Source organism: Homo sapiens, chromosome 6 (assembly GCF_000001405.40).
Source record: "Homo sapiens chromosome 6, GRCh38.p14 Primary Assembly".
Taxonomy (NCBI): Eukaryota; Metazoa; Chordata; class Mammalia; order Primates; family Hominidae; genus Homo; species Homo sapiens.
This window is the reverse complement of record NC_000006.12, coordinates 36,229,667-36,256,966: the sequence shown is the minus strand read 5'-3', so window position 1 is coordinate 36,256,966 and position 27,300 is coordinate 36,229,667. Positions and strand designations below refer to the sequence as shown.

The window sequence follows — 27,300 nt, the reverse complement described above, 5'->3', positions numbered from 1 at the left end:
TCATTTACTCTTCTTCTAAAGTTGCCTATATCCCCCCACTTCCTCTCCCCTATGAAGAGGGTATTTAAGCTTTAATCATCTTGCCCTTCTTTGAGTTTCAAGCTTTGTGGGACTCCCATTCATTTGCATGTTAATAAATTGGTATGCTTTTTCTCCTATTAATCTGTCTACTGTCTGTTTATTTCAGACAAAATTCTCAAACCTCAGAAATGTGGGGAGTAGGCCAGGCGCAGTGGCTCACACCTGTAATCCCAGCACTTTAAGAGCCTGAGGCGGGTGGATCACGAGGTCAAGAGGTCGAGACCATCCTGGCTAACATGGTGAAACCCCGTCTCCACTAAAAATACAAAAATTAGCCAGGCATGGTGGCACGTGCCTGTAGTCCCAGCTACTTGGGAGGCTGAGGTAGAAGAATTGTTTGAACCCAGGAGGTGGAGGTTGCAGTGAGCCGAGATCACACCAATGCACTCTAGCCTGGAGACAGAGCAAAACTCCATCTCGAAAATAAATAAATAAATATATATATATGGGGGATAATTTCTTAGAGCATCATAAGTGATAACACTCTGAAGTAAAGATTTTGGCTTAATTTGTTTAACCCAAGTTTCAGTAAATGTATGTGACTACATTTTTTTTTTTTCTAAGACAGGTTCTTCCTATGTTGCCCAGGCTGGTTTCAAACTCCTGGGTTCAAGGGATTCTCCTGCTTTGGCCTCTCAAAGTGCTAGGATTACAGGCGTGAGCCACCATGCCTGACTGACCACATCTTTTTAAAGTAACATCTATTGACATATCAAGCACACTTAGGAAAATCTTGTGTAGATCCTAGTTTCTGCCTTAAAAATCTGCATCATTCAATTATATCACCTGTAGGATATTAAAGGCCCGGGCTATTTTGACCATATAACAAGTGAGACACACAAACAACTGGTGACTGGAAGTCTGCTAGGAACCTACCGTTAGAAATTTTCATGTTTGCAAATTACTGGAAACTCTTGGTACTCAAAGTGTGGTATGTGAACAGCAACATCTCAGCCCAAGCCCAGACCTACTGAATCTAAGATCTGCATTTCAGCAAGACCCCTCAGTGTTTCAGATGCATGTTAGAGTTTGAGAAGGACTCCTGTAAACTATAAACTGCAATAGAGATGTTAGCGGCATTGTTATTAAAGAAAAAACTACTACAAATAATTTCTTAGCCTGCTATTTCAGAGACCTTCACAGAATCATCTCATTTGGCTTTCACAGCAATGCTGTCAGTTAGATTTTTTTTTTTTTTTAGACGGAGTTTCACTCTTGTTGCTCAGGCTGGAGTGCAGTGGCACAATCTTGGCTCACTGCAACCTCTGCCTCCTGGGTTCAAGTGATTCTCCTGCCTCAGCCTCCCAAGTAGCTGGGATTAGAGGCATGTGCCACCACACCTGGCCAATTTCGTTTTTGTTTTGTTTTGTTTTGTTTTTTGAAACAGAGTTTCACTCTTGTTGCCCAGGCTGGAGTGCAATGGCATGATCTCGGCTCACTGCAACCTCTGCCTCCCGGGTTCAAGCAATTCTCCTGCCTCGGCCTCCCAAGTAGTTGGGATTACAGGCATGCGCCACCATGCCCAGCTAATTTTTGTATTTTTAGTAGAGACGGGGTTTTTCCATGTTGGTCAGGCTGGTCTCGAACTCCCAACCTCAGGTGATCCACTCACCTCGGCCTCCCAAAGTGCTGGGATTACAGGCGTGAGCTACTGCACCTGGCCAATTTTGTATTTTTTTTTAGTAGAGAAGGGATTTCACCATGTTGGTCAGGCTGGTCTCGAACTCCTGACCTCAAGTGATCCACCTGCCTCAGCCTCCCAAAGTGCTGGGATTACGGGCATTAGATTTTTTTAAAACCTCTGTTTATAGAAGAGGAAATAAGATTCAGCAAAGTAAAGTGACAGATTATGTTAAGTTATGATCAGTTGCATAGTTGGGAAAGAAGTTGCAATTCATTGTCCGGGCACTAGGTCATTGTTTTCAATGATGCAGGCATTTGATGCCCAATTAAACTCGGAGGCAAGCCCCTGCCCTCCCTTTGAACATCCTTTTGCAGTCTCTACTTGGATCTTGCTCCTCTCTCAATGCCCAGGGCTATCCTGTGCCCCAGAAGGAGAGAAATGATAATCCAGGTCACACAAGCAGCCACTTCTGTCTGTCTACCAATGGCCCAGAGAGGTCTCAGCCCCTGAGAGGGGCCTGAATCCAAGGCTCAGAGTTAAGTAGACCCAATGGCCACAATAACAAATTCCTGGTTGAGAAAGCCAGGTCCATCCCTACAGCAGCCTGCAAGGACTTTTAAACTCCACTCCAGTTAAGATGGCCCATTCTTTTCTTTTTCTGTTTTTTGTTTTTTTTTTTGTTTGTTTGAGACAGGGTTTTCCTCCGTCGCCTATGCTGGAATGCAGTACTGTGATCATAGTTCACTGCAACCTTGAACTCATGGGCTCAAGTGATCCTCTGCCTCAGCCTCCAGCATAGCTGGGACTACAGGTGCACCCCACCACGCCTGGCTAATATTTTAAATTTTCTGTTGAGATAGGGTCTCACTATGTTGCCCAGGCTAGTCTCAAGCTCCTGGGTTCAGGCAATCCTCCCACCTCAGTCTCCCAAAATGTTGGGATTACAGTTGTGAGCCACCCACCCTTCCTAGGATGGCCCAATCTAATCAATTAGGGAACCAAGACCAGGATGGGATTAGGATGTGATTGAAAAGAATTCATGATTAGTCAGAAAAGAACAGAAGCAATTAGTTTTTAAGAAATTTAAGCATTATTTAAAGGTTTATTTGTAAAAACAATTGATGATGCATTCTTTACTTGGCTATTTAATGGTTGTTTAGCTGTTTAATAAAGGGTTGCAATTTTGTTTTTTTTAAAGGTGAGAAAACATATTGCTTTCTAGCTCAGTTAACAGTAGCTACAACTTTAGCTCTGTAGTCAGACCATATGACCTCGGAATGGGAGCAGCATACCCTGACTGTAAGGAATCTAAGATGAGGACAGTGCTGAGGGCTAAGCTCACACGGGGAGAATACAGCCGAAAGACACGTTAACTTCTTCCTGGTTCAGGTGAGCCAGTCTTGCACTTTAAATGTTGAACAAAATTCTCATGTGCAATGATAGAACCATTCTGAAAGGTAATTTGCTATTTATCGAGAACTCTGGCCAGGAGCAGTGACTCACATCTGTAATCCCAGCACTTTGGGAAGCCGAGGCAGGAGGATCATTTGAGGCCAGGAGTTTGAGACCAGCCTGGGCAAAATATCGAGACCCAGTCTCTACTAAAATTTTTTAAAAAATTAGTTGGGTGTAGTGATGCATTCCTGTAGTCCCAGCCACTTGGGAGGCTAAGGCAGGAGGATCACTTCAGCCCAGCAGTTTGAGGCTACAGTAAGCTATGATCACACCACTGCATCTAGTCTGTGACAGAGCAAGACTCTGTCTTTAAAAAAAAATTATCAAGAATTATAACAGTTGTGTCTTAGATGAGACTCACTGTTTTCGATATTTGACTTAGTTAACCCATTTGTGGAAATATATTCTAAGGAAATAACCTACCTCTAAACAAAAGAGCTCACCGCATTATTTTAACTACTCAAGCATTGTAAAGCTACATTGCAGAGTAAGGGAGTAGTAAAATGATCTACAGTGTATCCACCCAATGCTATGTTGAGTAGCCATATTTTAAATGATGTTGACATTCATAGTATATTTGGTATTGAACTAGACTTCCCCTCTATTGCCTTTATTTATTTGTTTATGAAGACAGCGTCTCGCTCTGTCTTCTAGGCTGGAGTGCAGTGGCCCAATCTCAGCTCACTGCAACCTCCGCCTCCCGGGTTCAAGCAATTATCCTGCCTCAGCCTCCCGAGTAGCTGGGACTACAGGTGCATGCCACCACGCTCGGCTAATTTTTTGTATTTTGGTAGAGATGGGGTTTCATGTGTTGCCCAGGCTGGTTTCGAACCCCTGAGCTCAGGCAATCCGCCAGCCTTGGCCGCCAAAAGTGCTGGAATTACAGGCGTGAGCCACCACGCCCGGCCCTCTATTGCCTTTCGTCCAACAGATGAAAATGGTTGAAACAAAGTTAAAAATGAAAATTGCAAGGCAAAGATTTTTTGTGAAGTGCTAGCTGTAACATTTGGTCTAAGATAATACCAGGAAGGGCCTGCCTAGACATTACCGTCTCTTCTATCCACTCAGATCTGAAGCTCAGCCATGCTTCATGTCCTGTCCTCTCCACGAGGCTTCCCCTGAGTCCTCAGCCCTCCTTTCACAACTCCGACAGCACACTTTGGTCCTCAGATAGACTGTCTTGTGGAGTGGGTGTCTTCATTAAGTACCTGTGTCTTCCCTTGGGCTCCCTGACATCAGTGCCTGGGTTTTTTTTTTTTTTTTTGACCCCTTTTGCCATGTACACACACAGCCCAACCCCTGAACCCAGTCGCTCACCAAGTCCTACTGATTCCACTTCCTGGCTTCCTTACTCCATCCCCGCCTCTCTGTCCCCTCCGTGAAGGTCTGCGCTCAGGGCTGCCTCATCTCCTTGCTGCGTTACTGCAGCAATCCATGCTGTCTCTGTTAGGCTGCTCTGGGCTGCAAGTTACAGAAAACTCAATGTGCAGTGGATTACATGACAAGACTAGTTTTACTGGGGAGAAAAAAACCCTTTCTAGAAAGCCCTCCAGAAAGTCCTCAGGATCTGCCAGCTGGAACTGGGTCATGTGTCCATGCCTGAGCTGCAGGGGAGGCTGGGAAAGCCCTTGTTTGGCATTTTCCATCTCTACAGTGATGCAGTCTCTGCCTGGAGGAAGGAGAGAAGGCAAGGGGCAGTTTCTATTAGGATAGGGAGCTGACAGTTCTGCCTCAAACTTCCTTACCTGGGGTCTCCCCACCCCTTTGCTTCATTCCTGACACTGCCGCTATTCATTCATTGATTTAACTAATCGTTCATTCATTGCATTAGTCAGTTTTGGCTAGGTCTTTTTGTTTTTTTGGAGACAGGGTCTTGCTCTGTCATCCAGGCTGAAGTACAGTGGTGCCATCATAGCTCACTGTAACCTAGAATTCCTGGGCCCAAGCAATCCTCCTGTCTCAGCCTCCCATGTAGCTAGGACTACAGACTTGCACCACCTCACCTGGCTAATTAAAAAAAAATTTTTTTTTGTAGAGACGGGTCTCTCACTATGTTGCCCAGGTTGGTTTCGAACTCCTGGCCTCAAGCAGTCCTCCCACCTCTGCCTCCCAAGATGCTGGGATTTACAGGTGTGAGCCACTCCCTGGTTATGTTGTGGTAACAAACAATCTTGAACTACCAGTAGCTTGGAATAACAAGTTTACATATTTGGCCATGGTATCAACTGAACCTTCACTGGCAGCAGGGGGAAGAGAAAAAGAGATCTGTGCCAGCTCTGAAATGCTTCCACCTGAACTTGACATGCATCATTCCTGCTCACATCTTACTGGTTAAAGCAAGTCACATAGCTACACCTAACTTCAGAAGGGCATAGAAGAGCAATCATCCTTTGTGCAGGATGAACAGAAGTAACAGTTACCACACTCAACACATATTTATTAAGCATCTATTATGACATTGCTAAGCAGAGAAACCAAACCCAGCAGCCCAGGAGTTCTAGGTTGCAGTGAGCTATGATGGCATCACTGTACTCCAGCCTGGATGACAGAGAAAGAGCCTGTCTCCAAAAACACAAAAAGATCTAGCCAAAGCTGACTAATGCAATGAATGAATAGTTAGTTAAATGAGTGAATGAATAGTGGCAGTATCAGGAATGAAGTGAGGGGGTGGGGAGACCCAAGATGAGGAAATTTGAGGCAGAACTGTTGGTTCCCTACCTTACTAGAAACGGCCCCTTTGCCTTCTCTCCTTGCTGGAGATGCATTGGTGAGCAAAACGAAGTATGTGTTCTGAAAGCCTTTACAGGCCGGGCGCTGTGGCTCACACCTGTAATCCCAGCACTTTGGGAGGCCGAGGCAGGTGGATCACGAGGTCAGGAGATCGAGACCATCCTGGCCAACATGGTGAAACCCCGGCTCTACTAAAAATACAAAAATTAGCTGGACGTGGTGGCGTATGCCTGTAATCCTAGCTACTTGGGAGGCTGAGGCAGGAGAATCACTTGAACCGGGGAGTCAGAGGTTGCAGTGAGCCAGGATCACGCCACTGCACTCTAGCCTGGCAACAGAGTGTGAGCCACCACACCCAGCCTACCTCTTACATTTCTATTGCATTAAAACACCAACTTGCCTGTCTCCCTGAGTAGACTATAAAACCTTAAAGACGGTTATCTCTTCTTATGACCCTAATACCTAGAATGGTGCCTAGCACTAGTAGACACTCAATAAATATTTGTTGAATGATGTATGAGACAGGATGAACTCAGCTACAAGGAATAAGATGCCCAACTATCATTGGCTTAAACAAGCATGGGTGGTGGTGGTATTTTCACAGAGCAAAAAATCTAACACCCAATAACTGCTGGGGTTGGTTTCTCTGCTCAGCAATGTCACCCAGCACCTAGGCTCTTTCCAGCCTTACACCATGATATTCTCAGCTTTTGGGCTTTCCTTCCTGTGACTGTGCCTCATGATCACAGGACTGCTGCCACATCTCCAAATAACATACAGTATTCATATTTAAGGTGAGAGAAGCAGAAGGGACCACAGGGGGCTCTTCTCTTGGGACTGTTGCTTTAGCCGGGAACAAAAGGCCTCCCAGAAGCCACCCAGTAGCTCGCATCTCACAGCCAAAGCATGATCACATGGCAGAACAAGGCCAGGAAAGAGAATATCTGGATTTCCGATCTCTGTGGTTGGAGATGACAAGGAAGGGGCTGGGAATGGTTTGGGTAGCCAACCGAAAGCGTTCACTGCAAATGAGGAGTATGTGCTTAATAAATATTTATTAGTGGAGGCTCAGATTTTTATGGTCTGGTTCTTCCTTTATTTGTAGTAGCATATAAAGAACCCTCATCATTGCAATAACTAACCACTATTGACCACGTTTTCTGTTCATCCGGAACTCTGTGCTAAGCAAGTTATATGAATTTTCTTCTTCTATCTTTGCAACCTTAGGACAGAGGTAATATCAATCTCTGTTTTACATATGAAGAAATTGGATCTCAGAGTAGTTAAGCAACTTGTCCAACTTGTTCACTTACCAGCTAGTAAGTGATGAAACAGGGATGTAAACTCTCATGGTCTGAGTCCAGAGCCCATGTCCCTATCCTAGAACGTTAGTTAGATCTCAGGGGAGCCTAGAGCTCATCATACACAAATCCTTCACTTACGTGGTGCTGAAGCTGAGGTCCAGAGATGGCTGGTGACCTGCTCCAAGTCACACCACAACCCTAAGTCAGAGCCAGGCCCAAAACCTACGAGTCCCAACACCCAGGCCATTGTTTTATTTTCTGCCACACTGGGCATCCTCTGTTTAGAAACTCCACATCAGTTCACTCATCTTTAAAAAGACAAAATGTCAAATTTGGAATCCTGTGGACAATTCGGTCAAAAATAGAACTGTATTTGACTTAAGGTTTGGCAAATTAGAACAAGCTGTTTCCTTTTTTGGAGTCAAAACCTGATGATAAGCTGGTTCCAACTCTTTTATTCATCTCAATGGAAACTCCAGTGTGTATAATATTTTTTAGTTCTCAGGAAATAAAAGGAAGAATGTAAGGTCAGAGCCTCAGCTGGGATGTACCGAGATGACTTCCAACCCCAAGCTCATGACCCAGAAATGCCTTACTAGTAATGTTTACTCATGTCCTGTGTAACACAAGCCTTGGGAAGTCTCTAGGAGGAGAAAGTATGCAGGTTATACCACCTCCTAGCTGTGGGATCCCATGACTAGGCCCCTAGCAAAAACTAAGCAGCACTAATGGACAGAAACACCTGGCATGAAGTGGGACTCTGTAAGAGCAAGTTACCTCTCCCCTGGCCTCTGCACCTTCCCCATTGGGCCTCTCTAGGGCAGATATGCAGCCAGCATCCAGTGCAACAAGCAGTGCCGACCTTGCCCACACCCCCCCTTTTTCAGAAGATGAAGTTCTTCTCAATAGGACTCAATCTTTTGGTGGGGGGACGTTTGCTTAAATTGAAAAGTTGGCCAGGTTCAGTGGCTCACACCTGTAATCTCAGCACTTTGGGAGGCTGACGTGGGCGGATCACCTGAGATCAAGAGTTCAAGACCAGCCTGGCCAACATGGTGAAACCTTGTCTCTGCTAAAAGTACAAAAATTAGCTGGGCATGGTGGCATGTGCCTGTAATCCCAGCTACTCAGGAGGCTGAGATAGGAGAATTGCTTGAATCCAGGAGGCACTTGCAGTGAGCCGAGATCGTGCCACTGCACTCCAGCCTGGGCGACAGAGCAAGACTCCGTCTCAAAAAAAAAAAAAAATGAGAAGTTATTTTGGTGTGGCATTTAAGACACCTAGGTAAGGTTATAAGCACGAGCCCGAGTGAAGCAGTGTTTGAATTTAGGCTGTGTCACTTCCTAATAATGTGTGTGGTTACGCAATTTCCTTGTGTCTCAATAAAATAGAAGTAATAATAACAGAGCCTCCCTCAGAGGGCTGTTGGAGGAGTAGATGAGGTGCTACATGCAGGGCCCTGAGAACTGTCCTGTCGCTCAGGAAGCAAGTTTTGCAGGTTCACCAGAGCCTTGTCGAATCCTTATATCTGTTCTCCACTGCATTTTTCTTTTATTTTATTATTATTTTTTTAAATCACCTCCCTTCCTCCCACAGCATTGTTCATCTGAGTGTTCGGTGTGGATTACACCAAACATTTTCTCTGCTTCTTTTAAGGGTGTGGACAATCGGGCAAGTGACTGCATGTGACAACAGAGAGAGGGCATGGTACACGGTGGCAGATGAGCCCGGGACTGGAGGCAGATCTGGGTTCCAGTTCGGGCTCTACCAGCAGCACCCATGTGTCCTTCTGTTCTCTGGGCCTCAATTTCCTGTTGTAAAATTCAGAACTTGGAAGAGGTAAGTGGTTAGGTCATTCCTGAGACATCCCAGATAATCACAGCCATCCAAACGTTGGCTCGGGAGCCCTGAGTAACCAAGACTGCAGGAAGCAACAGTTTAGTAAGGGTTCAGAATCCTGTGATTAGGGCTCGAGAATGAAATACTCTTCTAAGAGCTTCTCCCAGACCAAAAGGAGCTAATTAGGAAAGAATGGTGGCATTCTCTGGGCAAACTGGAGGAGCCCCTGGGCTTGGCCTCCTTATGCCTTCCTCCTTGACCCTCCTCTAGCCCCCTTGGACACAACACAACGTCCCCCCTCTGCTTTTTCCCCAGATACTATGGTAAACCTGCTCTCAGATCTTTCTCCACACCTAGAAAAATTCATTCATCGACTATACACTTTAATGAATATGCACTTACTATGTACCAGATATTCTTTGGCTGCTAGGGCAGAGCAGCAGGGACATAGCCCCTGTCCCCGTGGGGTCAACATGCTGGTGGAGGGAGTCAGAGGTAATAAAATAAGCAAGTAAGACACACAGTAGAGCAGGCAGAGTTGGCGGAGAACTGGATCTAACTGGGTTGGGGTTTTGCCAAGCAAGTACAGTCCAACTTGGAGTGTGGAGGGAAGGGTATAGAAAAGGTAGGGACTAGAATAACTAACCCTGGAATTTAGGCTGGGAAAGGAGGGAGTAGGGATTTGAAAGCGGGTGAGGTCAGTAGTCTGTGGGGCCCTGAGGGGCGATGGCTCCAAGGCACGAGCCGGAAAGAGGTTTGACAGTGGCTTCTCTGGAGGGCTCAAGCTTGACCAGGAAACTGAGTGCCGAGCCCTGGAAGATCACTGGGGAGAGGAGGTCAAAGAACTGGGAGGCCAGGGCACCATCGGCGGGCTGGTAAGTGGATGGTGAAACCACCAGGCAGGGGGCAGGAGGAGCTGGAGAGAGGACGCGAGATGGGAGCTAAAATCCTAAAATCCGCAGGGAGTGCGGAAAGCAGTGACAGCAGTGAGCGCGGGGAGGCTGGTCCTGAGTCTGGGATGGGGCGATGGCGTTCAAGAAGACATATTTAAGAGTACTATGTAATTTTACGTGTGGGAAGAACCTTTTGTTTTTGTAATTAGAACTACAGAAAGGGACAGAGCTGTTTATGTCATGAAAAGCAGGCCTGAGCATTAGAAGACTGAGAAACACCTGGGAGGATCTTGTTTCAACAGAGCTCAAAGCCGTGGCAAAAGGACGGAGCTCGAATTGTGCAATTGTGAGTGACTCGAAGCTGGGTGGGAAAGCGTCTAGTTTCTTATGCATAAAGGACCTTCCTGTTGTCTCTGAAATCATACCAAGTAGATGCCACCATTTCAGCAGAGGCTTGAATTATACTGATAATGACAAGTTATCAGTATCATATAACTAATGTAATTGATTGATAGGAGGAGTTAAGGACACGGGATCTGGCCGGGCACCATGGCTCACACCTGTAATTCCAGCACTTTGGGAGGCCAAGGTGGGCGGATCACTTGAGTTCAAGAGTTCAAGATCGGCCTGGGCAACATGGCCAGGCAACATGTAAAAATACAAAATTTAGCTGGGTGTGGTGGTGGGCGCACCTGTAATCCCAACTACTTGGGAGGCTGAGATGGGAGAATCATTTGAACCTGGGAGGTGGAGGGTGCAGTGAACTGTGATTGTACCACTGCACTCCAGCCTGGGTGACAGAGTAAGACCTCGTCAAAAAAAAAAATCCAAAAATGTGGGATCTGTTTAAACCCTGGCTCTGCTCCCTGCTACTCATTACCCTCATCTGTGCAGCAGGGGTGATACCAGCCCTCACCCCTCTGTTTCTGAGAAGTAGATGAGCGTGTATGTGCACAGAGACCTGCCTGCAGTGTTGTGAGGACTCACAAAATGTTGGCTAGATATCCTAATCTTTCTCATGTTTGTTGGCAAACAAAAACAGGCTGAGATGGCCCTGTGCCATTCGTATATCTGTGTGTGGAATAACAGACAGTATAAAGCTGAAAAGCAGGTCCCTCCCTGGCTAATTGCATTTCAGCAGCCGCTGGGAGGCAGTGTGGCGGGGGGCGGGGAGTGAAACTGTGCGGGGAGTCAGGGAGCCTGGGTTTCCTCCTCAGCCAATGAGGCCAAGGCCAAATCAGGATGTCCCTGAGCCCCTGTTTGCCTACCTGTAACGTGGGGATGACGGTTCCTGCCAGGTACCCACAAGGCTGTTGTGAGGACTGAATGAGGAAATGCTCCTTGAAGATAAATGACAATGCCACAGAAGAGCGGATGCAGCTCCCCTGTGCTGAGTACTCACCTACTGTGTGCTGGGCACAGGGGCAGAGCCACCCACCCCTCCCTGCAGCAGTGCCTGGAAGGCAGGACCAGCATCCTGATAGCCAGAGTTGAGACAGAGTTTAAGGGCCTGCCAGGCATAACTCCCTCGCCAGGCATAGAAATAAAGGAACATCTTGAGTTCTTTCAAGGGAAGTTCCAGGCACCTAGCTAGCCCTGAGAGTAAATGAACAACATGATAAGCAAGAAGGAAATAATAGCTTTTCAAAAAAAATAGCCAAGGAAGTTAGAGTCACAAAATACTTGGTTCCCTATTGAAACTTAAGATAACATCTTAATATATGTTCCTGAGTTGTTTTTCAGAAACCCAGGCCCCCAGCAAATGGAAAATGCCATCCACTGGCACAGAGACTTCAGTTGGGAGCCGAGGACTGAACTCAGACCACCATTCTTTGTTCAACATTTCTTCCTGAGGGGCCTGGAGGAAGTCACACCCACAGGCCAGAGCTCAACATTCCTTTCTGCTGACCCCAGGTTTTTAGACAAAGCTTTGCCTCCTTAACCAATCACAAATCAGAGGATCTTTGAATCCACCTATGACCTGCGGGCCCCGCTTCGAGATGTCCCACCCTTTTAGGTCAAACCAATGCACAGTTTCCATGTATTGATTTATGACTTTGCCTGTAACCTCTGCCTCCCTGCCTTTAAAAACCCTTACCTGTGAGCCACCCTGGAGTTCGGGGCTTAAGCATGAGCTGCCCGATTCTCCTTGCTTGGCACCCTGCAGTAAATGCCTCACTTTCTCTTGCTGCAAATCCCAATGTCAGTGCTTGGCTTTGCTGCACCTGGTGGGCAGACCCAAGTTTGGCAACAGAGTCTGTGGGAGAAAGTGCTGTCAGAGGAACATGCTGGAGCAGCCAGATTATAGAAGAAAGAAGTATCGTTATGGTTAAGTCTGTGAGCAGATTTGAGGAGAAGCTAACGAATGGCACCAAGTGTGTTCAGCATCTCCCCTTCTAGGGTGTCATCTGACAGATGTGTTATCTGACAGATGTGCTGCTCATGCCTTCTGCACCTGAGGTCAGGGATGCTCACACAGAATGGGTTGTAACTGCATAAGGTCGGGAGCCCCCTCTACATCCACCAAATAGAGGATGAGTTGAGTATGCAGATAATAAAGCAGAATAAGGAAAGGCTTTTTATGAACTGACAGGGAAAGACTATCAAGAAATACTAAGTTAAAAAAAAAAACAAAACCCTCAGTGCCAAACAGTACATATAGGATGCCACCATTTTTTTTGTCTAAAAAATGGGGAAGAATATCTATGGAATATACTCATTTATATATGAATTGAATATTCTAAAGCTAGTTGCAAGAAACTAGTACCCTTACTTTTCTCTAGGAAGGAAAACTGGGAAATAGTAGGAAGAGGATTATCACTGTATATCCTTTTGTACCCTTTGATTTTGAGACCATGTAAATGCAATTATCTAAGAGAGAGAGAGAGGAAGGAGGAGGAGGAGAAAAAGGAGGTGGAAGAGGAAGGGAGAGAAAGAAACGCTGTGCATGGGCTCTAGAATCAGACGGACTTGTGAATTCCAGCTCCACTGCTTCCCAGCTGTGTGACCTTGCCCAAGCTACTCAACCTCTCTGGGGCTCAATCTGTGCAGGAAAGGGGCATGACAATTACATAATGCCTCCAACCCACCTGGACTGTTGGGAGATTGAGACTAATGAGTTTAAAGCTCTTAGCTAGAAATGGTTGCTGTAGATGTTTAGCCAGCCCTGGCTTCACACTCTCCAGACCAGCTTCCAAACTTCCTGGAGGGCACATGCAATTCATCTTTTCCTTTCCCATGCAATTCCCCAGGCACCAGTCCATGGCACTCCCTATGCCTGCAGGATACCACATCAAAGCAGAGTTGGGGGAGGTGAGTGTCTTGAGTCAAATGCGATACCAGCCCCCATGCTTCCTCCCAGAGCAAAGCCCCCTGCAGACTAACTGCTGGGCTCTCTGGTAGTAGGGTCCTGCTCTACTGAACCCCACATCCCTTTATCCCAGGCTGCACCTCCTTCCTCAGATGAAAATAGCAATTCTCAAACACAAGTGCGCATCTGAATTTCTGGTGCAGGGCCAATTCCTGGGCCCACCCCAGGACTTTGTTTTGCCCACTGAGTTGTCAAAGATGGAGCTCTTGCCACCTCTCAGGCAGTAGGTCCCTCACCCTTTACAATCCACATCTCTCCCCAGTTACACACTGGTTCCCAAACATGTCCAAATCTTTCCTCCCTCACTCTCCATGCTTCTGATTTTGTAGATCTCTCCTTCAAGAATCTTCGCACCACCCCCCACCATGCATTCATGAACATTTTCCCACTTGCCTAAACGATGCCTACCTTAGTAGAAGCAGCTCAATCATCTCCTCCTCCAAGAAGCCTTCCATTGTGGACTGCCCTCCAATGTGGGCTCCCCCTGGCTGATTTTGTGTCTGTCATGCCATCTTCATAGCTTACTTGAATTAGAATTATCCTTGATAACAATGAAAGCTTTGATTAGTGAGTGCATGAATGTGAGTGGTTTATTAACATTGGCCCTCATCTGCCCCACACCCACAAGAGGTAAGTGTTATTGTCCCTTTTCATAGAGGAAGAAGCTGAGTCTGAAGGATGTCAGAGGGTTTGCCCAGGGCACAGCACATAGGGGATGGGTTGGAATTTGTCTGCCTTTACCTGTTTTTTTTTTGGTTGGTTGGTTGTGTGTGTGTGTGTGTGTGTGTGTGTGTGTTACTGCGCCGACTTTTGAGACTAAACAGTCTCTAGAGTGGTGGTCAGTTTGTTTTTCTCTCTTTCAGGGCAAGGCAAAGTCTAATCCCTCAGTTAATACTAACTTGGATTCTCGAGATGGGGATGTCAATAAGAAAGATGTCTGGCAGTGACTTGGGAAGCTGAGGGGGGAGGATTTCTTGAGCCTAGGAGTTTGAGACCAGCCAAGGCAACATAGCGAGACCCTGTCTCTACAAAAAATATAGCTGGGTATGGCGGCGAGCAGCTGCAGTCCTAGCTATTTGGCAGGCTGAGGCAAGAGGATCGCTTGAGTCCAGGAGTTTGAGGCTACAGTGAGCCATGATCGCACCACTGCCCTCCAGCCTGGGTGACAGAGCAAGAACCCTGATCAAAAAAAAAAAAAAAAAAGGAAAGAAAGAAAGAAGGAAAGAAAAGGAAGGGAGGAAGGGAGGGGGAGAGAGAGAGAGAAACAGAAAGAAAGGGAAGGAAGGAAGGGAAGGAAATGAAGGAAGGAAGGAAAGGAAGGAAGGAAGAAAGAGAAAGAGAGAAAGGAAGAAAAAAGAAAGAAAAAGTGAGAGATGCCGGGTAGAGACAATTCCTGAGGAGTCTATGAGGTGGGGGTGGCTCGAAGGGAAGCGGGTGGGAGATGAACATCATCATCTGAGAGAAGAGATGGTACGGTGCAAACAGGACAGGGTGGATACCATTCTGACCCTGGGGCACTCATGGAATTAAGGGAATTTGTTGAAAATAGGGAGGCACAGGGCCGGGGGAGCAAACACTATCTTTCCTTTTCTTCTAAGCATTTCAGGAGGTTCCTGTGAAAAACCTACATGCACACACCCCCACGTGCAGCTGCAGACTGCTATCTATACACGAAGTTATGCATCGCAGAGTCGACTGCAAAAGGCTGGAGCCCACACAGCGTCTATCAATAGGGAACGGGTTAAATCGACCACAAGATTTCCATATGACGATGGAACACTTTCCAGCCAAGAAAGGAGGAGGAAGTCCTCACTGCTCTGATACGGAACAGTCACCAAGACATATTTTAAGTAAAAAAAAGGCAGCATGCATAACCAGGGAAATGAAAACTAAAACCACAGTGAGTTACAATTTCACACAGATCCATCTACAAAAAAAAAAAAGCTGATAATTGCAGGTGTTGGTGAAGAAGTGGAGTGAGGGGAATGCTCAAACTACTAGTGGGTGTGCGAATGGTTATAACCACTTTTTAAAATTTTGGCATTATCTACTGAAGTTGACAATGTACTTTCCCAATGGCCTTGCAAATGCCCTGGAGAAGTTCTTACCCAACCCCCGCCATTCCCCCCAACACACACCAAAAGAAACAATTAAGAACATTTGCACCAGCTCTGTTCCTAGAACCCCAAAACTGAGGCCAGCACTGAGGCCAAGCACAGTGGCTCATGCCTGTAATCCCAGCAGGCATGAGCCACCCTTTGGGAGCCTGAGGCCGGAGGATTATTGAGGTTGAGAGTTCAAGACCAGCCTGGGCAACATAGTGAGACCTTGTCTCTATAAAAGAAGTTTTAAAAATTAGCCAGGTGTGATGGCTCATGCTTGTAGTCCCAGCTAATTGGGAGGCTGAGGTAGGAGGATCGTTTCTTGAGCCCTGGAGGTTGAGGCTGCAGTGAGCCATGATTGCACCACTGCACTCCAGCCTGGGCAACAGAATGAGACCCTGTCTCAAAAAATAAAATTAAATTAGAAAACAATAATAATTATTATTAATAAATAAAATAGTCCAATGAAAATAATCATACTATCTCCATGCAATGGAATTCTATACAAGAGTGAAAATGAACTAACTCCGGACATGCGTATCAGTACACTGAACTTCAGAACTATAATTATGGGTGGGACAAAAGCCAGCCATAGAAAACTATTCTATTCATAATCCCAAAAAGGTAGTATACCATATTCAATTATTATATATATTTATGTCTTGTTATATATAATGTTTATTACATTTATCTTAGTATAAAAATATAGTATATTTATCATAATCTATTATAAACAAGTAGTAGGATTATAAAAAGACAAAAAGGGCAGGATAAGCGTAAAATTCATGATAGTATTTAGGGGAAGAGGAGGGTGGGGCTGGAGAGAGGCACATGGTTTCAAAAGCCCAGCTTCTTTGTCTAAAACAGGGCGTGGGTACCCATACTGGTCTATTGTATTGTGGGTGTCTTTAAAATGTATATATATTCTATAACTACTATTTTTGTATCTACTCAATATTTAATTTTAAAATTTTAAATGAGGCCTAGAACACTATAAAAAGTATGCTACCATTTGTATAGAAAAAGTGGACACACACATCACTCATGTGCATAGATTAAAGTGTCTCTGGAAACTTACACATGCAACTGGTGAAACTGGTTTCCTCTGGGGAGGAGAACTGGGAGGCTGGGGACAAGGAGGGGCAATAAATCAATTGAAATTAAAAATCACAAAATTTAAGGAGAAGGAGACAAAGAAGGGAAGGAGGAAGAGAAGGGAGGGTGGAGGGGAGAGGCCAAGTCCTGGTCCCAGGAGGGACAGGGAGCAGAAAGAGGAGGACTGGCCAGGCTCTGGCTATCAAAACCTGTGTGTGCCACAGGCACGAGTGGAGCCAGAAGCCTGCAGTCCTGCCCAGGAAAGCCTGTGTCCTCCGCGCACAACTCAGGCTTAGACCCAGAGAATGCTCTTTCTTGCACCTGAGGACGGGGCTGGCTTCAAACAGTTGCCCAGGTTGACCCTGGCTCTGCAGTCTTTTGTTTCCAGAGCTTTGCTTCCAAACGAGGCTCCCTTGGGTCTCTTTCCCTGGCCCTGCCTTCTTATCTCCAACCTTCACCCCACCTGTGATCCAAGCGATTCCTTTGAAGTTGCTTCAGAGTCTTCTGAGCCTTCATCCTTGATGACTCTGAAATGTGCGTCTGTGGCACCAAGGTCAGCCAACAGCAAGTAGGCCCTTTTCATCTCCTTTTAAACCTTCCCCTCAAGGACTCAGTGTCCTTGCTGTATTGCCTTATCAAAACCTGCTCACATATCCTTTGTTCACACTGGGATACCGGTCATTTAAAGGAAAACAGGCCCACTCTAACCAGGGTCACTGCCAAGTCCCTAAGTATCATGCCCTTGAGAGGTAAAAGCATAAAGCACTAAGGGTAGAATTTTGGGCAACAGCCAGTGGACAAGGACAAAATGGGTGCAATATGCAGGGGTCCCTTCTGCCCCACCGGTAACCATAACACCTCAGGACACAGGCTGGGGTCTGTATTCAAAAGTGGGTCCCTCAGACCGGGCACAGTGGCTCACGCCTATAATCCCAGCACTTTGGGAAGCCAAGGCCAGCGGATCCCTTGAGCCCAGGAGTTTGTGACCAGCCTGAGCAACATGGCGAAACCCCATCTCTACAAAAAATACCAAAATTAGTCTAGTCGGGCATGGTGGTGCACACACCTATGGTCCCAGCTATTTGGGAGGCTGAGGGGGGAGAATCGCTTGAGCCCCAGGAGGCAGAGATTGCAGTGAGCTGTGATCGAGCCACTGCACTCCAGCCTGGGCAACAGAGTGAGACCCTATCTCAAGAAAACAAAAACAGAAAGTAAAAAAGCAATCCTCGAGCAAAAGTGGGTCCCTCAGAGCCCAATGACAGTGATGAGGAGGATGAGGTGGGAAAGGTAGTGTTACTCTGAACTAAAAAGGACTGCCCAGTGTGACCCTATCTCCCAAACAGCCCATGCAGGGATCTGGGTGGCACCATAGTACAGAAGTGGGTGCCAAGAGAGGCCTGGGCTGCACAGCCAGGTGCATACATGCCCTGGAGTCCAGGACAGGATCAGCAGCAAATCCACTCCAGGGAGCTCTCCCCCCTCACCATCCTCTCAATCAGGGTTCCCCAGTTGAAAAGCACCTTGGCAGTTCATAATTCTCCCTCTAAAGCCAGAAAGTGCTGTAAAGGATAACAGAAGCCTGGCTGCACAGTGGAGCTTAATGGAAGTCATTCAACAAGCAGGTCTGGAGCAAACATCATGGACCAGCAGTACTGTGTGTTGGCACAGATGTGAAGCAACTATACTCTGATACGGCTTGGATATGTGTCCCCACCCAAATCTCATATTGAATTTTAATTCCCAGTGTTAGAGGAGGGGCCGGGTGGGAGGTGACTGGATCATGGGGGCAGATTTCCCCCTTACTGTTCTCACGATAGTGAGTTCTCAGATCTGGTTATTTTAAAGTGTGTAGCACCTCCCACTTTGCTCCCTTCCTCCTGCTTTGGCCATGTAAGATGTGCCTGCTTCGCCTTCCCCTTCCGCCATGATTCTATGTTTCCTGAGGCCTCCCCAGCCATGCTTCCTATACAGTCTGCAGAACCGTGAGCCAATTAAACCTCTTTTCTTTATAAATTACCAAGTCTCAGGTATTTCTTTATAGCTGTGCGAGATCAGACTAATACAGGTGGGGAGCTGTGCAAGATCAGACTCATACAGGAGGGGATATAAATTGAACACCAAATGGGAAACTGGCAGAATCCACTAAAGCTAAACATATATCTGCCCCGTGACCTAGCAATTCCACTCCTGGGACATACAAGCACTTATGTCCATCAAATGACATGTACAAGAATGTTCACAGCAGTGTTATTTATAACAGCCCTAAACTAGAAATAACCCAGTGCCCATCAGCAGGAGAATGGATACCCAAACTGTGGTGTGTTTGGATGATGGAATATTACTCAGCAACAACAAAAAGCAAACTATAGCTACATGCAAAACAGGGTGGAGCTCAGAGCCACAATGTTAAATGAAAGAAGCCAGACACAAAAGAGCGCAAGCTGTGTCATTCCATTTATGTGAAGTCCAAGAACAAGCAACACTAACCCACAGCAATGGAAGTCTGGATGGTAGTTACACTTGCAGCAGGGGTCCTGACTGGACAGGGTCATGAGGAACCTTCTAGGGCACTGGAAACATTCTGTATTTTGATTTGGATCACAATTTCATGGGTGGGTACACATATAAACACTCATAGAGATTAATCTTAAGATTTGTGTCCCAGAGTTACTGTATGTAAAACTATATCTAAAATATGAAAATACTCAAACTTCGGGGTCTGTTCCTCCTGCTCCTGACCTGACTACTCCACTAACTGGTCCTGACCTCGGAAGCATGTTGTATCTGCTGTGGAGTGATCTTCGTTCCCGATGCTGGTGGCTGTACCCAAAAGCAGAGGTGGGAACTTCTCAATCAAGAGGAGAATTATATGGCCATATGGTGGCTTCCTCACTCATTAGATGTTTGTACATGGGGCAGAATTTGGTCTAGGACTGAATTCCATGGAAATTTACCCAAGAGAGCAAAGTTGTTGGGAGGAAGATATATAGCTCCCATCTAATTTCAAATGCTATGGAGACTATCAGTATTTTAACAAAACAGAGGAACTAACAGGCAATGCTTGGTTTAGGCCAGTCCATGAACAACAGCAAGTGAGAAAAAGCCAGACTTAGGCTGAGGAGGCGTGGGGAGGACTTGCATCCCAGTCGTACCATGAATTTCCGCAGTGATGTCAGAGAGGTAACAGACTACTCAACTACCTAGTACAAGAAACTAAAATACATGCTCTACCTAGAAAAAACAAGAGACTATAAGGAATTACATTAAAATGGTAGTTTCTGTGTGGTCAGAAAAAGGGTAGTTCTTAATTTCTTTGCACTTAAAAATTTTCCCATATTACATACAAAAAACCCCCACGGATTTTATAATCTTTCCTGACCAGCTTAGATAAAATCTCCTTCAGGCGTCACTCTGGACTGTGAAGCTGAAGGGAAGGAGCCCACCCCTGGACCCTTATGTGATACTCCCTGCCCATGAGGAACCATCAACGTCGCATCCCCAGTATGGCTTCTCTATCCCCCAAACGGACGAATACTAGGCAGAAAGGAAGAGGAAGGGATTGAGACACGGCTTCAGGAGTTCAACTGAATCCACCCTCTTCCAACCAGCCTTACAGGTGTCAAGCAAAGGACATAAAATGTTCTCAGAAACAGCACCACGGCCCTTCTGAAATTTGGGGACAACTAGCTTTTTTGACTCTATGTAGCCTGTGATGGGGGTAGAGCTCAGTAGTAGAGTGTTTGACTGCATGTAGCCCGTGAGTCCTGGCCCTATTAAAGTTGAAGAGAATACTTATGTATATGTACACACACACACACACACACACACACGGACGTTTTTCGTCTATCCCCAATTACCTTCTGCCACCCTCGAAGGGAAAGGGCAGACAGAAGGTCACCCCAGGTGCCAGTGAAATGGGAAAAGTTCTCTTATCCCCCTCGCTGGGCATGCAATGGGGGTGTGGCTCACTTCTTTGGTACCCCATAGCTCAAACCCCTAGCGGGAGCATGCAGACAGGCAGGTCATGGGGAGTGTGGGCTCCGACCCCACTGCAGCGTCTAAGGTTTGAGTGTTTACAGCTCCCCAAGCCCCAGTGGGTGTGTGTTACATTATGCTCTTCTAGTTTAGCCATCCGCAGACAGCTTGTGTTAATCAGCTTAATTAGGCCCTCTGCCTTATCACAAGGACAGAGGGCTTTCTGTATCCTGGGTTCTTGCCTTGGTGTACCAGAAAAATAGGATCACATGTGGGCTTGGAGGATGGGTGCAAGGTTTTATTGAGTGGAGGTAGCTCTCAGTGAGGTGAATGGGGAGGCCAGAAGGAGGATGGAGTGGGAAGGTGGTCTTCACCTGGAATTGGGCTGCCCGGCAGCTGGACTCCGACCGCGCTGTGCCAAATTTCACGTCATCGTGGCGTCGTCGATAGCCTGTCGGCATCTGTTGGTGCCTTTCGGTGTGTTCTGCTTCTCTGGACTTCCAGCCGGCTGTGTGTGTGTGCCCGCTAGGGTCTCGGGGTTTTTACGGGCCCAGGATCAGGGGCGTGGCGGGCCAGAGTGGTCTTGGAAAATGCAACATTTGGGCTCAAAAACAAGGGTGCCTGTCCTCACCTAGGTCCGTGGACCAGGCCTGAGGGTGAAGCCCTCACCAGGGACCCCATTCTTCTCTACCCAGCACTTCCCTGCCCTTCTCTCGTATCACCAGGGTGGATCCAGCACTCCTCTCCAGCTCTAGCCCAGCACGTATCTCCCTGGCCCTTCTTCCTCATCACAGAGTAAGAAACTTCTGCCCCACCTTTTGGAGAAACCACTTCCCTCCTCCAAAGACCTCCTTCCCTCATCCCAGCTTCAGTAGAGGCCAGAAGGCTGCAGCCAGCAGGACCAGAGACCTGCACACTCATTGCCCGACTGCAGACACTGTGGGAGGCCTGCAGACTCAGGGTAGTCAAGGCCCACACCCTCCCTCTCTCCTTCAGCACTACTCCGAGCCTGGCAGTCTTGCCACTAGCCCCACCTCTTCTCTAAAAGTGAAACTCAGAGCCTAGCCAGGTCAGGAGAGCCCATCTGACGCACTGGCACATTCACACTCAGGTGCTAATGGCATCTAATATATTAATGGAAGCAGCCAAGCTGACAAGGGATTTTGGCAAATGCTTTCAATGATATTTTTTAACTTGTTAGGAGAATGGGATTCTCTATTCCGAGAGTCAGAGTGTCTCCAACACATGTCCCAATATTACAGTATCATTTTAGACTTGAGTTCATGAATTTCAGTCACATCATTGATAAAATTTATTAAGGACACTTTTGCCTACTTTGGGTAATATATAAGTCCGTGGAGAGCAGAAAGGGCTGAGTGGGTGCTGAGTTCTGGTCCAGCCCTGCCTTTTCCTGCCTTGTGATGCTAAGCACATCTGACCTGCCTTTCTCCTCCATCTGTGGCATGAGGGCTTGACATTCCCTGTGAGGCCCTCCCTGGAGAACAGACCCCTCAAAAGGTGCTGTCTCCCCCTTTCCCCCAACCCCAGACTCTAAGTGTAAGGGGCTTTCCTCATGTCTGTCCTTCGCCTTCCTTGCTGTCCTTGGCCATTCTTCTAACTGCCTAGGTGGGCTCCACTGTGCCCACATCTCTGTCATCTGCTCCCATCTTTCTCCTGAATTCTGGGCTCAACTCCCATCTGTTTGCTGGAGGTTTTTCTTAGATGTCCCATAGACAACACAAACTCATCAAAAAACCTACACTTTCTCCTCCCTTCAAAACCCACAGCGATCCCTCCAGCAGCCACCCAGCATCCTGTCTTAACACTCTTGCTTTTTAACTTTGATGTTTAGTTAGTTGCCAAGCTCCAATCAAGTCTCTGCCCTGTTCAAATCTTTCAATGGATGCTGCTACCTGCCATATATGAATGGCACCCACCTTGCCCTGTCTTTGGGATCCTTTATTACGTCAGTCTCAGAGAGGCCCAGGGTCACAGAGTGAGTGACAGTGACAGGGCTTTTAAGCCCGATATACTGCTCGCCACCTCGGTGGGTTCCAGTCACGTGGGAGGTCAGCTAGTCACTGGAGCTGGAATATGCACAATCTCTTTCTGAGCCATGACTTTGTCTCCTCTTCTTAGCCTCGCCTGCTAAAATCCTACCCATCTGGCCACTTTTATTTCTAAAATGGTTTATAGAATGAGCTTGTAATTTCACCCTAAATATTTTGTAAATATTTTGCAAACGTCTTTGTAATTCAACTTACAATTCATAAATAAAGTCTTTCCTAACCCCATTTGTCAAGGCTTGAATTAATTGCTGCTTCTGAAGGCTTTCATTACTCCCCAACCAAACATGTCTCTCCCAAACGCCTCCACATATCTGGGACCCTCACACTGGCCTTATGCGGCGTTATGTGAGATGTATCTTATAAATCAGGTTGTGAGTGTCTTGAGACCAGGGGTGTGTGTCTTTGCAGCCCCAACACGTAATACAAGGATTATCAGCACATTGGCAGTACTTTGTCAGTGTTAGGCCAAAATGAGAACTTTGACACTTTTTTGACTTCAATGACAAGGCTGTCAAAGGCCCCGTGGAGGAAGTGATCAAGAGACCCGAGTCCTCAGCCACACCGAGACAAGCATAGGAGCCAGGTAGGACCAGAATGGGATAGGAGTAGGGACAGGGGAAAAGCTATTCTATGCCCAGCAACCAAGCAGTTTGTCTCTGGGAACTCCCCTCTGCTTCTGCTCTTCAGGACATTCCTATCCAGAAATGCCAGAGCCACAGCCACTGAGAGAGGAACACGATACAGAATAGGCCAGTGGAGTCTTGAAATGCTGTGGAGCCCATAAACAAAGCCTTGGCCAGATCCTTGTCTCAGAATTATGCCACAGTTTCTTAGTTGGCTGACCTTGGTCTTTTAATTTTGCTGGTCTGTTTCCTTGTCTGTAAAATGAAGACCAGGTAGGCTTAAGGATGCCTTCCAGCTTTAAGAGGAGTGAGGCCTATATTCCCCTGTGTGTGTCCCAGCTACCCATCTACAGAATTAAAACAGCAGCAGTGACATAAGAGGTGTGAGCATCCTTGAGTCTCAAGTTCAGCAAGCTTGGTAAGTCAGGTGTGTCCAAAGGGTCACTCTCCTTCTGAATGAGGAGCAGAGGCTCCTAAAGGAACATGGCCACAGGGAAGGCGAGGCATGGGAAGGTAGGATGGACCTTCCAACAGCTCCCAGAAGGTGCCAGCGCTGTCCGGGAGGGAAGCAAAGTCAGAGAACATCCTCACACTGCTCCTAGGGGTCCAAGAGATAGACAGAAGCTGGGCATGGTGGCTCCCACTTGTAATCCTAGCACTTTGGGAGGCCAAGGCGGGAGGATTGCTTGAGTCCAGGAGTTTGAGGCCAGCCTGGGCAACAACAACAAAAAAACAGCTGGCCATGGTGGCACGTGCCTGTAGTCCCAGCTACTGGGGAGGATGAGGTAGGAGGATCTCTTGAGCCCAGGAAATCGAGGCTGCAGTGAGCTATGATCATGCCACTACACTCCAGCCTGGGCAACAGAGACGCTGTCTCAAAAGAAAAAAAAAAAAAGAAAGATACAGCCCTCGCTAGCTAGGAAACTTTCTTAATGGTCCTGGCCTGTTGAGGAGGAGGCTGTAGGGAATGGGAAGACAGGGGTAGGCCCCTACTGATTAAACACAACACAGCAACTACTGCCCATTAGAACATTTATTTCTCAGAGAGAAAATAAGTTTCAGACAGTCATATTATAGTAGGTAAAATTAACTTTTGTATTCTTTACAAGCATAGATTTTTCTCTGTTTATTACCTCTCTTATACCATCTGTTATAAACAATTCTAGAAAGCAAATAAAGTCACTCTCTACAATAAATAGAGCATCATGTGCTTCACAGCAGACGCGACAGAGACACATAGGCCCCGTGCCACAGCAGGATCTGAGCCGTTTCCCGTTCTAAAAGAGCATTTTAAAAAATGAGACTCAGAGAGAGACTAAAATATTCAGAGATTGAAAAATAAAGAGAGAGACTAAGAAGAGAAAGTGTTGGGGGGAAGAGATAGACATAGAAAGAGAGGAAGTCCCAAGATCTTACAACACAGGTTTAGACAAAGGTCACAGAGTCCACAGCTGACCAACTACCTGGGGAGAGGGGAAGCACTGGCTCCTTTAAATCAACGACACTGTGTGGCCACACAATGGAGGACTCCAGTAATGGAAACTATAGGCCTGAATAATTTAGAACAGTATTTTACAATTATATACACCATGTCCTTCCCTAGCCATATGCTGTATTGTTTTTATTATTATACAAAATCCAAAACCCCATCCTTTTAAGTTATAGTGTTTTGTTGGTTCCCTTTTAAACTCTGGCTCATGTCCCAAATGTATAAGAAGTTGTGGTGGTTGGTTGGTTGTATTTTTAAAAAGTCAAGTGTGTAAAAATGGCAGTGATCTCCCCAGTGACTGTTTTGTCCAAAACTCCCCTATGAAAAATTTAAAACAATTAAAAAGAATATCAGGTTAAAAATCAACATGGCAATCAGCGGCCTGCAACTGGCCCTGCGACTTTGGTGCTCAGGAGGTGAAAAGAAATGTCCAGAGAACAGACACTGAAGCCTCTGAAAGTTGTGTTGGTTTGTCAGTCAGCATTCCCCATTCACAGTTTTTTTTTCCTTCCATTTTTGAGAAGGTGAAGGTGGGGAGGGGGTTGAAGAGAAAGAAGGAAGGAGGCAGAGGGTTTGAAATAAAAGTAATGCATTCCCTGGAGTTGGGAAGTGGGAGTAGCAGAGGCTAGGCAGGGCAGGGCAGAGCGCAGGCCAGGAAGATGTTTGGTGGCAGGCGCCATGCCATCCAGGTGGTGGAGAGTGAAGCTTAAGACTGCAATTGCAGAAAAAGTCCATGAGGAGAGAAGAAGGAGAAAAGGGGGAAGAGGGCAGACCCAGCTGACGAGCACAGCTCCACACAAACCACCCTCGACATCCATGTGGACAGATGGACACTCGCACACCCAGCCTGATAGGAGCCCACCCTGAAGGCTTGGACCACCTCGTGGCAGCAAAGAAAAAAACAAGAGGGGACCCGCCTTGATCCAGGGGGCACACTTGCAGAGCTGGGAAGTTGTGTCAACAGCTAAAGGGAAGGTCTGTGGGTGGGAGGTGGTGTCCTGGGGGAGGGGGTCATAGGTTGTGGGCTGGCCTCTGTCTGGGCCTGAGGAGCCTGGCAGAGACACCACCTGGCATAGCAGCTGGCCTCAAGGGGAATGAGACATTAAAGAAAAAGACCAGTGTGGTGACGGTTTCTGTCAGTTTGGCACAAGAGAAAAAGAAAAGGAATATGGGAAAGAGAAAGCAAGACTGGGCAATGGGTGCAGAAGATGGGACCGAGAAGAGGTGTGAGAATAGGCGATAAGCGGGAGAGAGTGTGAGCTTGGGGAGATTCCCCCTGGGACCCTGGCGTATCCACGGCATCTCTGGGATCAGTGTCGGAACCTCACCCGCCCTGAGGTGTAGTTAGTGGGAGTAGGATGGAGCGGGCCAGGCAGCCCCTCAAGAAGGAGCCCAGGACCTCTTGCCATCTGGGCAATCTCCTAAGCTGGGCCCAAGCCCCACAGCTGTTTCTACTTCTAACTGGTTCTTCAGTGAAATATCCCCTGAGGGACCTTGGGTGGGAGTTTTTGGCACACAGCAGGCCTGCCAGGAGAACCATGCGATTGGTCAAAACTGGGGCCTTGCCCTTAGTGGGGAGAAAGCCCAGTCCCTGGCCTACCATGAGAGGGGGAAGCTGCCGGCCATACATCTGGCAGGGGCAGAAGAGGCTTCTCTGTGCCCTGCGGGATGGAGGCAGGGCAAGCGGATGCAGGCCCAGCCCTGCCCTTACAGGTAGCTGGAAGTGACGAAGGAGTGGGGCCCCCGGACTCTGCTCAGGTGGATCATCGCACGGTCATAGGCCACCTGCACTGACTTGCGGATGCTGGTCTTGCGGCCTTCCAGCATCTTGAGCTTGTCCACGGTGTCTTCCACACCCAAGGGCAGGACTTTGTCCCTTGGAAGCCACTGCCTGAAATGCAAGCACAGTAAGAGGCTGGGCAGTAGTGGGTCTCACAGGGGGCTCGGGCTCCTGTGGCCCCACTTGGCCAGGACCAGCAAAGCCAGGGAGAGGGTACAGGGCAGAGGGAAGCAAATTGGGGGACTCCATGCAGGAGGCCACCAAGAACCTAGCAGGTGAGGACAGCAAGCAGGATATGCAGGAGTCGGGTGGGGGAATGGCATGGAATCAATTTTGCAGCTAGGTCCTTCTCTGGGCCCTTACTCTGTTTGGAGAGTTGTAAGGGTCCATAGGCTAAGAAAGGCCCACCTGCTGCCCTCTGGGGCCAGCTGAGCCACCCTGGAGGGCTCTGAGCCTCGCCTTGCGTTGGAGAATTAGGGGGCGATGGCTAGGAAGTAGAGCTGATGCCAGGAACTGATAAACTCATCTGTGGTGGGACCTGCACACTGTGTATGTGTTTTTAAAGCTCCCCGGGTGAATATAACATGTGGCTAAGGATACAGCCTTTGGAGCAAGATCTTGTTTTGTATCTTAGTTCTGGCTACAGGGTCTGGACTTTCTGAGCCTCAACTTCCTCATCTGCAAAATGGATTATGAGGGGATTAATGAAGACTTAAATGAGGATTAAAAGAGATCAGATATATAAAGCAATCTGCATAAGGACATGGAGTAAGCACTCAATGGCAGCTACTATTATCACTGTTTTTATTAGCTAGTTCTCCCTCCTCACTCTATAGAAGCTAAGGTGAAAGCACTCTCTTGTTGGTGCTA

General features: G+C 47.2%; 2 protein-coding genes and 1 long non-coding RNA gene across 10 annotated transcripts in view, besides 3 other annotated features; 1 reads left to right on the top strand and 2 right to left on the bottom strand.

Moving 5' to 3' along the window:
* Positions 1-13,799, bottom strand: part of PNPLA1 (patatin like domain 1, omega-hydroxyceramide transacylase) — a 70,788-nt gene extending 56,989 nt beyond the window's left edge. For all 3 annotated transcript variants that reach the window (XM_011514520.3, NM_001145716.2, NM_173676.2), the window contains exon 1: positions 13,706-13,799. The gene's annotated coding sequence lies outside the window, so the exon portion shown is untranslated. The remainder of the gene's footprint in view (positions 1-13,705) is intronic.
* On the top strand, positions 8,958-15,015 carry LOC105375036 (uncharacterized). 2 transcript variants are annotated; one of them, XR_007059564.1, is made up of 5 exons: positions 8,958-9,034; positions 10,137-10,273; positions 11,671-11,841; positions 13,179-13,239; positions 14,896-15,015. It is a non-coding gene; the product is annotated as an uncharacterized LOC105375036 (long non-coding RNA). The 2 variants fall into 2 exon arrangements; XR_926757.3 differs by lacking the exon at positions 8,958-9,034 and having other exon boundaries at positions 10,047-10,273.
* Positions 11,138-11,187: a silencer, noted in NCBI's record as "silent region_17111". NCBI's record gives its function as "represses an Ori minimal core promoter by ATAC-STARR-seq in GM12878 lymphoblastoid cells {active_cell/tissue: GM12878}" and the evidence as "EXISTENCE:reporter gene assay evidence [ECO:0000049][PMID:35858748]".
* Positions 16,841-17,135: a silencer, noted in NCBI's record as "tiled region #10771; HepG2 Repressive DNase matched - State 7:EnhWF, and K562 Repressive non-DNase unmatched - State 22:ReprW". NCBI's record gives its function as "represses a minimal TATA promoter and a strong SV40 promoter by Sharpr-MPRA in HepG2 and K562 cells {active_cell/tissue: HepG2 | K562}" and the evidence as "EXISTENCE:reporter gene assay evidence [ECO:0000049][PMID:27701403]".
* Positions 20,972-21,517: an enhancer, noted in NCBI's record as "H3K4me1 hESC enhancer chr6:36203227-36203772 (GRCh37/hg19 assembly coordinates)". NCBI's record gives its function as "activates a minimal SCP1, AML or CMV promoter by ChIP-STARR-seq in primed H9 embryonic stem cells {active_cell/tissue: H9 hESC(primed)}" and the evidence as "EXISTENCE:reporter gene assay evidence [ECO:0000049][PMID:30033119]".
* The window catches only part of BRPF3 (bromodomain and PHD finger containing 3), a 36,047-nt gene continuing 32,923 nt past the window's right edge, over positions 24,177-27,300 (bottom strand). For 4 of the 5 annotated variants that reach the window (NM_015695.3, XM_047418649.1, XM_011514491.2 and 1 more), the window contains one exon: positions 24,177-26,541. In NM_015695.3, the coding sequence (NP_056510.2) occupies positions 26,358-26,541 (184 nt within the window). In that variant the 3' untranslated portion in view covers positions 24,177-26,357. Of the gene's footprint in view, positions 27,109-27,300 lie in introns of all 5 variants that reach the window. The other variant, XM_011514490.2, reaches the window with a different exon arrangement.